General features: G+C 57.2%; 1 protein-coding gene across 6 annotated transcripts in view, besides 3 other annotated features; it reads right to left on the bottom strand.

Moving 5' to 3' along the window:
- Positions 180-735: an enhancer, noted in NCBI's record as "H3K4me1 hESC enhancer chr2:220402941-220403496 (GRCh37/hg19 assembly coordinates)". NCBI's record gives its function as "activates a minimal SCP1, AML or CMV promoter by ChIP-STARR-seq in naive H9 embryonic stem cells {active_cell/tissue: H9 hESC(naive)}" and the evidence as "EXISTENCE:reporter gene assay evidence [ECO:0000049][PMID:30033119]".
- Positions 182-9284, bottom strand: part of ASIC4 (acid sensing ion channel subunit family member 4) — a 31680-nt gene continuing 22577 nt past the window's right edge. For 2 of the 6 annotated variants that reach the window (NM_018674.6, XM_017004439.2), the window contains exons 2-10: positions 7052-7196; positions 6826-6953; positions 6477-6639; positions 6015-6071; positions 3630-3783; positions 1797-1888; positions 1633-1712; positions 1218-1322; positions 182-1021 (exon numbers count right to left, since the gene is read on the bottom strand). In NM_018674.6, coding sequence (NP_061144.4) covers positions 908-1021; positions 1218-1322; positions 1633-1712; positions 1797-1888; positions 3630-3783; positions 6015-6071; positions 6477-6639; positions 6826-6953; positions 7052-7196 — 1038 coding nt within the window. In that variant the 3' untranslated portion in view covers positions 182-907. Of the gene's footprint in view, positions 1022-1217; positions 1323-1632; positions 1713-1796; positions 1889-3629; positions 6954-7051; positions 7197-9284 lie in introns of those variants that run through there. The other 4 variants (NM_182847.3, XM_047444916.1, XM_047444915.1 and 1 more) reach the window with 4 other exon arrangements.
- Positions 736-1290: an enhancer, noted in NCBI's record as "H3K4me1 hESC enhancer chr2:220402386-220402940 (GRCh37/hg19 assembly coordinates)". NCBI's record gives its function as "activates a minimal SCP1, AML or CMV promoter by ChIP-STARR-seq in naive H9 embryonic stem cells {active_cell/tissue: H9 hESC(naive)}" and the evidence as "EXISTENCE:reporter gene assay evidence [ECO:0000049][PMID:30033119]".
- Positions 6114-6711: an enhancer, noted in NCBI's record as "H3K4me1 hESC enhancer chr2:220396965-220397562 (GRCh37/hg19 assembly coordinates)". NCBI's record gives its function as "activates a minimal SCP1, AML or CMV promoter by ChIP-STARR-seq in primed H9 embryonic stem cells {active_cell/tissue: H9 hESC(primed)}" and the evidence as "EXISTENCE:reporter gene assay evidence [ECO:0000049][PMID:30033119]".

Raw genomic sequence — 9284 nt, 5'->3', positions numbered from 1 at the left:
CTTGTGATTCAGAGGTTTTGAAAAGGTAGGCAGGCGTGGGGGAGGGAGGACTGGCTGAGCACCACAGGCTCCCCTGCCCCTGCTGGGGCCTGCCTTTCCTTTCACCCGGGACCAAGTCATGCATGTGCCCAGCCTCACCCCGGCCCCCAGTGCGTGCTTGGTCACACATACACACAGAGAATTCTTTATGCCTCTTTATTCCCAATCTCGTCAGCACTTTATAAAATCAGACTGGAGGGAGAGAGGACTGAGAAGGCTCCCTTCCCACCCTCCAAGCTCAGCCGAAGTCTGGAAGGTCTCCTGCCCCCTCCCTATAGAAGGGACTCTAGGGGTGGGGCTGGTGCAGGGGGAACTGGGAGCTGGGCCAGGCCTGCTGGGCCATCCTCTCCCCCTGCCAAGAGGGGAGCTGGGCCTGGAGAGGGGCAGGAAGTAGGACCAGCCCAGCACTCCTGAGTCCTGGGGCTCTCCCTATCCTGCTGACATTGGGGCTGGGACCCTGGCTGTCCCTAAATCACCCACCCCTGTAGCCCTACCCACCTTCTACATCTGTATCCCCTCCCCCCACCCGGCTTTCCCTAAATATTTACAAATGTACAGAGGGCTCCCCCTCCCCGGCTGGGATGGGCTCTATCCTCCCCCTCCCTCTCCTTCCTTCCCTTCCTCTCCGTGAGGGCCCATGGCCTGGTCTCCAGCCCTCCCGGGGCACCAGCCTGGGGATAAGGGGTGTGGACAAGAAGGACCTTTGTGCAAAGCAGCTGACATCAGGGCAGGGGAGGATGAGAGCAGGAACTGAGTCCTGGCCCTCCCAGTGAGCACCGCCCCCAGGCCTCTCCCAGGAGCAGGAGAATGTGCTGGGGATCCCAGGAGGGGTCCCAGACTCCTGGGTCCTTTCAGTCACAGCACCGTCCTAGCAAGCAAAATCTTCAAAGAGACCTCCTGGGGGACCGTGGGGGTGGTGGTGATTGGGGAGCAGACTGCTGACCCCCCCACCCTCCACTCGGCCCCGGCTCGGGCAGGGACTCTGCAGGAGAAAGAAAAGAGAGAGTGGGACCGGGAGAGCTCAAGTGGTGCCCCCAGGGCTCACACCGCCAGCCTTTCCTTGTCACCTCGGGCAGAGGCTCCAGGGCCCCCTCCACAGGCTGGTTCAGAAACAATGGATGTATTCAGTCCTGGGGAGGTGTGGCTGCATGCTGCAGGCATTTAGAGCTTGTCCTCACCTGTTCCTTCAGCTCCTGAAGCCCCAAAGTGGAGATGCCCCCAGTGGAGGTCCGCAGGGGGGTCTTGGGACGCCTCCATACCCGCTTCAGTCGATCCCAGGACACCTTGGGGTTCAGGGTCGGGGACAGCAGTGGGCTCAGGAAATTTGGTTGAGGAGAAGCGTGAGCCTTACCATGCCCAGCTGCCCACAGGACTTACTGCCACAGCAAACTCCCAGTAGGACACCCTCCTCCTCCTCACCCATCCCCTTCTCCTGACTCTGAGCCCTCAGGCCTGCCAGCCAGTCAGGGGACCCTGGCAGAGAACCCTGAACCTGACTTTCCAGCCAGGCCAGCTCCACCAGGCACCCCGCACTGCCCCCTTCTGCTTTGCCCACGGCCCCCACTCCCACCCTGCCTTCTCCAGGGCCCTTGCCTCATAGATGTAGTCGAGGATCTCCAGCAACGTGAGGATGCTGGCCCCAATGAACAGGCCCATCTGTCCCCCGAGGTCTCCTGGGAAGCAGGAGAGCAGTGTCAGAGGGAGCGGCCGGGCCGATCCACCCCCACACAAGCTGGGGGCAGGGACACCAGTCTCACCCAGCAGGGCTGACAGGCCATAGGCTGCTCGCTGCTCCATGGCTTCAGAGGTCAGGGCCTCAAAGAAGACATCTAGGACCAGGAAGTTCTCCCTGTGGAGACAGGAAGCAGGGTATCCGTGTGGGCCTCTCTTCCTGAGAAGGCTGGCAGGGGCATCCTGGATCCAGCAGATCCTGATCAGAGATCACTACATGGGGAAGTCAGTGACTACCCCCCGGACTCCCCAAGGCTGTGAGGGGAGGCAGTCCCGGATGTGTGTTAGCTTCATCTTTTGAGGGGTAGCAAAGGGCCTGGGAGAGCAAAACACAACTCCTGGACCTGAAGGAAACACTCCTCCCTCCTCTAAAGCAGCCAGTGGTGTTGCCTTTGCCTCCTCCTTACGCCTCTGCGGACCCTTCAGTGACCCCTGTTGCCCGTCAGTCCACTCCACAATGCCCCTTCTCGGTGTCCTGGGCAGCCGGTGGCCTGTCCCCGGCACCTTCCTCCCCAGCCGCCGTCTTTTCTGCTTCCTCCACACAGCTGCCTATGGCTCAGGCTCCCCGCCACACCACCCCACCGCCCCACGTCCTGTCACTGGACGCCTCCCCATTGCCTCCTCTCTCAGACCCCAAACCCAGGGCCCTCAGAGGCCGGCTCACGCCTCCCCAGCTTCACTCCCCGACTGGGGCCTGAGAATCAGTCCTACATGATCAAACGTGGGCTCATTGACAAATTGTGGCATGAGTTTTGTGTCATAATCATCTGTCCCCACAGAACCCAGCACTGAGCCTGGCACCCAGACCACGCTCCACAAGTGTAGACTGGCTGGAGGGGACCAGACCCAAGCCTCAGGGCGGTCCCTCCTGCCTCCCCCTGCAGGGTACTGTGTTCCTCTCCTGTCTCATCCTGTCCCTCTCCCTCCGTGCAGGGAAGAAAGATGCATAAGCAAAGCACTCTGAAATGTGGCATATGTGTAATGACAGAGATCTGTACGGGTGCTGGGAACTCAGATGAAAGGTGTTTGGACCTGGAAGCACTTCCCTGGAGGTGGAGACACTGAACGTGACTTGAGCAATGAGTGGGGCTACTTAGAAGAGAAGGGCTGTGGCCAGGCAAGGTGGCTCACACCTGTAATCCCAGCACTTTGGGAGACCAAGGACGGCAGATCACTTGAGGTCAGGAGTTTAAGACCAGCCTGGCCAACATGGTGAAACCCCATCTCTACTAAAAAGACAAAAATTAGCTGGGTATGGCTGTGGGTGCCTATAATCCCAGCTATTTGGGAGGCTGAGGGAGAAGAATCGCTTGAACCTGGGAGGTCGAGGTTGCAGTGAGCCAAGATTGTGCCACTGCACTCCAGCCTGGGCGACAGAGCAAGACTCTGTCTCAAAAAAAAAAAAAAAAAAGAAGGAGAAGAATAGAGCTATGAAGGGCATTCCCGGTAGAAGACTCATCATAGAGATGCGGCCCACTCCCTGCCTCCACCATGCCCAGCGCCTGTTGAGGGCAGCCTCCACCACACACACACACGCACACAGACCCACACAGACATAGACACATTCTCTCACACACATACCCATTCACAGATACATACACTCATAAGTGTGCATGCACACACACATCACACACTCACACACCCACAAGACACACATACATGCCCCCCACACAGACACACACACACATGCATGTACACACCCACATACACCCCACACACATACACACCCACACCCACATACACACAAACACATACACACATACACTCACACACACGTACACACAGAGTCACACAGCCACCCCCCACACACACGTACACACAGAGTCACACAGCCACCCCCCACACACACACACACATACCGTATGTAGGTCTCGTTGCGGTTGTACTTCCTCGCCAGGTACCGGGCTGAGCCCCTGTTGGGGATCCTGACCATGGAGATCTCTTTCCCATAGCGTGTCAGGTTGCAGGGGGTGGGGCAGAAGCACGGGCCCTCAGGGCCCCCACCCAGGGAGTCTGCAACACAGAGGTAGCAGCTACAGTGGGAGTTGGAGAAGGGTGGTCCAGTGGCCCACCAGCTGCAGAGAGGAGGCCCAGGGGCCGTCCTGAGGCAGGCACACCCACACTGAGGGCCTTTACTGGCCAGCCCCAGTGCTTCCTAGAGGGGACTGGCTGCAGGTCCCCGCCTGAACCAGCTTCAGACTGCTCCAGAGAGCAGATATAAGCAGAACCCCCCAGCACCCTCCCAACCCCCTGGGACTGGGGGGGGGTCCTCGTGGCCCAGAGGGAGAACACAGCCCATCCACCAGAGCTAATCAACTATGTGAGGCCTCAGACACACAAGGAGGTGTGGAGAGGATGCTGGGATGCATGCATGGATGGATGGATGGATGGATGGATGGATGGATGGATGGATGGATGGCAGATGGCCAGATCGACGGATGGGCGAACAGAAGAACAAATAGACCGACAAGCTTCCCAGGATCAATGTGCTGGGCTTTCTCTGCCTGCCCCTTCAGATCCACTCTCCACTCTTCAACCTTGCTCTGCACCCTATGAGGCTGATCTCCCCCAAATGCATCAACTAAACTCCCTTGTCCTCTGGCTTTGGGTTCAGTTTGGCCAACAGGAGGCCCCAGCAGAAACAGAAGGTGAGAGGGAAGAGATGCCAGGGTATTTCTCCCGCCTGGCTTTCTCACTGCCAGGCCGTAGGTGGCAGAGGCTGTGCTCCTCCAGCCATGCTGCTGTCAGTCAGCCCTCTCGGACAGCCACAGGTCTCTCTCTCCTCCTGCAGGCCTGGTGGGAATGAAGGCTCCCCATGTTGCTAGCTCTGTGGTCTACCGCTGTGCCTTGCAGGCACCTTACTCCTGATCACATATCTGTTCCTTCACTAAACATCTCCAATCACCCCTGTGACAGATGCAGGTGGTGTGGGGGACAGAGAAGGGCTGGATGTGTGTGGCTGCCCAGTGTCTCAAACCCAGCCCCAAGGCCCCAGGTGTCTGGATTACTGCAGCCAGCTTCGCCAGTCCCTGGCTTTGAGTCTCCTCCCCTCCTATCTCATTGGACTCACCTGGCATTCCTGCCTTGCCACAGGCCTTTGTTGGCTTCCTAGAGCCTCCCTCCTCTTTTTTTTTTTTTTTTTTTTTTTTTTTGAGACAGGGTAACTCTGTAGCTCAGACTAGAGTGCAATGGTGTGATCCCAGCTCACCGCAGCCTCAACCTCCCAGGCTCAAGCCTATCCTCTTGCCTCAGCCTCCCGAATAGGTGGGACTATAGATGTGCACCACCACACCCAGTTCACTTTTTTATTTTTTGCAGAGACAGGGTCTCACCATGTTGCCCAGGCTGGTCTTGAACTACTGGGCTCAAGTGATCCACAGACCCTGGCCTCCCAAAGTGCTGGGTCTACACTTGTGAGCCACCGTGCCTGGCCTCCCTCCTCTACTCTTTCTACTCCCTCCCCTGTTCTCTGCCCTGCAGCCACACAGACCTTTCAGTGCCCCGGACACAGCATGCTCTTTCTGGCCACAGGTCTTCAGTGTATGTCCCCCTTTGCACCTGACTCTTATACACCCATCAAGCCTCAGCTAATGTGTCCCTTCCTCTAGGAATCCTCCCTACCTTCCCAGGCTAGGGCTGCACACCCCTCCTTGGGGCCTTGCAGCACACCCGAGGCTCCCCTCTCCAGGAGTTGACGGGCTGTGTGGGAATGGCTGTCCACAGCCCTGCCGGGGTGTAAGCTCTCCAAGGGCAGGGCTGTCGCCCCCACTCTCACCTCCAGTACCCAGCACAGGCTGTAAAGGTCTGGAGAATGCGCGAATCGATGAATGGATGGATAGATGGATGAACTGCAGATCAGGCAAGATCTGTGGACAGATGGGGTTTGCCTTACCCACACCGATAGCCAGCAATGCATTTTTCCTGAGACCAAGAGAGAAGTCATTTCACTTTCTCAAAGTGGGTGAGCTCATTGGCTGAACCAAGATGAGAAGCCCAGACCTTCACTCCCAGTCCTGGCTTCTCTGCAACCCCCCACCCTGCTGCCTCCACTTACCCAAGTGTCTGTACCTGCAGAGGTCCGCAGACCTCTCCCCAACCCCACTGAAGTATGGGCTAAGGCTCAACCCCCAGGAAGAACCCTCCAGGAAGAGATTGGGAGGGGAGGATCCAAGACAGTGAGGAGAAGAGTGGACAGAGACATGAAGAGGCTGATGGAGAGGTAGGAAAGGGTAGGCAGCACGGACCCAGTGTGTGGTCTGCACACTCGATGTAGATATTTGGTGGGCAGATGGTCTCATTGCCTGAAAGGAGAGAAGATTATTCCTGGAATCTACGATCACTTCCCCTGTCCCCCACACGCCCAAATGTAAGCACATACATGCATGCACACACATATGCACACATTTGCATAAATGTGCTTGAACACCACACACACAACCCCCACAAATACGCAACCACGGATATAAATGAGCATGCACGTACACAAATACATATTAACATGCACACAGGCATCTGCATGCCGGCATTCCCACATGCATATGTGAAACCATGTTTAAAAATCCCAAACACTCACACTCACACGGGTACAGACACATACACATGTTGTATACATGCACCTGCCTGTGCACATGAGCAGTGCCTTGCCCCGGGAGGCTCTGGAGCCTAGCAGGGTGGCATGGAGGGCTGGCTGGGGGTGGGGTGCCCACCTGGCATGTGCACCATCCGGCAGTGGCAGCGCTGAAGCACGGCCTCCTTTTCACAGCGCAGCCGGCAGGCAGACACACTGTAGGCCGAGTAGCCCTGAAGCTCAGGCTCCCTGAGCTCACTCTCTGCGCGGCAGTTGCCCCAGGGCTGGGGCAGGTAGGTCAGCTGCAGAGGTGGGGCATGATGAGGTCATGCTCAGGAATCCCACCCAGTCCTCCAGTGCCCACAGCCCCAGCAAAGTCAACACAGCTGGCAGGCTCTGAGCTTCTAGAGGGCAGGTTTGCTCCACATCCCCTCTGAGCCCAAAGGCGAGCCCTGTGCCCAATCCAGGGCCTAGCAGGAGATGCTCACCCGCTGTTCCTGGCAGGACACAAAGGTCTGGAAGCCTGGGGACACCCCGAACCCCAGCTGGTGGATGTAGGGCGGCTCCTCCTGGCTGTGGATCTGCACCCGAATACCTGCCTCAAACGACGTCTCATCTGCACAGCAGAGATGGGGACCTTTGGAAACCCATCCCAGGCAGAGGGCCCAGGCCCCAGTCCCCAAGGTGGCCCTTGTCCCTTTCCGGCCTGCGTACTTGTCTCCCTCCAGATGGGCAGGTACTCCTCCTGCTGGATGTCCAGCATGATCTCCAGGCCACTGCCCATGCCCCCTGCCCGGCTGGGCAGCGAGCTCCGCGGGTCCGCGTTGAAGGTGTAACACTTCCCATAGCGAGTATAGACCTGGGAGGTGGGGTGAGAGAGCAGGAGGGGAGATGAAAGGAGTGGCCAAGGCAACTCCGAAGTTCCCTGCTCCCTGCTGAGGGCCACCAGATCTGCTTGGACACTCCAGTCCCGTATCCTAGCAAGCAATGTACAGCCCAGCCTCTCCAATCAGCGCCAACTTTTCTACTGATGGCCTCCCTTAGATGATTAGAAAGCATCTCCAACCCAACAGCACATCAACACCTTCCCAAACCCTGCCTTCCCCCCACCGTTTTCCTCCACCCTAGTAAACCACCCCACTATATCCACCCAGTTTCTCAAGTCGGAATTTCTGAAATCTCCCCTTCCATCACTCCTGCATCCAAGCCAACAGCTAGTCCTGGGACACTTCTTTCTCTTCTTTTTTTTTTGAGATATGGTCTTGCTCTGTTGCCCAGGCTGGTGTGCAGTGGCACGATCTCGGCTCACAGCAGCCTCAACCTTCCAGACTCAAGCCATCCTCCTGCTTCAGCCTGACAAGCAGCTGGGATTACAAGCATATGCCACCAAGCCCAGCTAATTTTTTTTTTTTTACTTTTTATTTTATTTTTGTAGAGACAGGGTCTTTCTATGTTGCCCAGGCTGGTCTTGAACTCTTGGGCCCAAGCAATCCTTCTGCTTTGGCTTCCCAAAGTGCTGGGATTACAAGCATGAGCCACCACATCCAGCCTCCAGCCCACTTCTGAAATACATTTAGAATCCATCCACTTTCCTTCCTTCTCCAGCAACCCTCATTTTGCCATCTCCTCCTAACTGCTCTCCCACCTTGGTCCACCCTTGCCCCTCCCTACCGGAAGCCATGGTGCCCAGTCCACAGTGCTCAGATCCAATGAAACCACTAACTGACTTACCCAACAATAGCTTCCCATTTCCCACATAATGAAGTCATGCTCCTTCCCTAACCCAAAAGTGCCCATGTGATGTGGCCCTTGCCTGCCTCTCCCACCACCTCCCCCACATGTCTGTGACAAGTTCAGACACCTGGACTCCTTTTCTCCTCGGGCTTTTGTTGTTGTTGTCCCCTCTCCTGGAATGCCCCCGCACACACACTCATGGTATGGCTAGCTGCCCATCACTGAAGCCTCAGCATGTCACACTCCTACATCACACGGCCACATTCAGTGTCACCGTCCATGCATCCACATGTCTGTTGGTTTGCTCAAGGTACTTATCAAGACCTGAGATGATCTTGTTCATCTACTTGTCTCCTGTCCATTGTCCATCTCCCTCAATGAGCATGTATGCCGCACAGGAGCAGGAGCCTGTCTGGTGTCCCCAGCCTCTGGCCCAGTGCAGGGCACAAGGGACACTTGAATGAGCAGTCTCTGCCGCACAGAAGCCCGGCTCCCTTTTCCTCTGCGGAGAGTTCTCCTGCATGGACAGCAGATGGCGCTGGCGCCCCGGAGATGGAAGCCCAGGCTCCCGCTGGGGATTTAGCTGCCACCAGGAGCTGCGCAGCGGCAGGGGTGGAGAACAGGCTGAGGGAGAGGCGGGTTCTAGTTCCCCCCTGCCAGGCTTCCCTAACAGAGCCGAGCCCCTGGGTCAAACCCATCACAGGCAGCACCTTCCCTGAGGGCAAGGGGTCGGCGCACTCAATCACTCTCTCCCGCTCCCCCTCCCCTCTCCTTGGGAACATTTCCCACTGGTAAAAGCTGGAAGAAATGGCAGGAAGCGGTGTGGAAGGAAAAAGAGATCCTGAATGCCTGGCTACACAGGGGGAGTGCAGAAGGGAGAGAGGCTGGGTGGAGGGCAGCGAACCAACTGAGAGTCCTCCTGAGACCTCCTAGGGGGCAGGGTGAAGTCCCCATGCCTGAGAAGTAGACCACCCTGCTGCAGTGCTCTGGGAGTCGCAGCCCTGATCCTCCCCTCTCCCACAGTTCTTCTACCACCCAACCACCCTGCCTCCCGTTCCCGAAACAAAAACGTGTGCACCACAAACAAAGCACCCTGAGTTTACAGAACACAGTGCCGTCTACCGTTGCACACATCCCCTCAGTACCAGCTAGGTGTAGTTATCCCAACTACTTCAGATGAGGACATCACAGCTCAGAGAAGTGAAGTGACGTC

The sequence above is a fragment of the Homo sapiens genome, chromosome 2 (assembly GCF_000001405.40).
Source record: "Homo sapiens chromosome 2, GRCh38.p14 Primary Assembly".
Classification (NCBI taxonomy): Eukaryota; Metazoa; Chordata; class Mammalia; order Primates; family Hominidae; genus Homo; species Homo sapiens.
The sequence above is the reverse complement of the archived record's forward strand: the minus strand, read 5'-3'. Positions and strand labels throughout refer to the sequence as shown.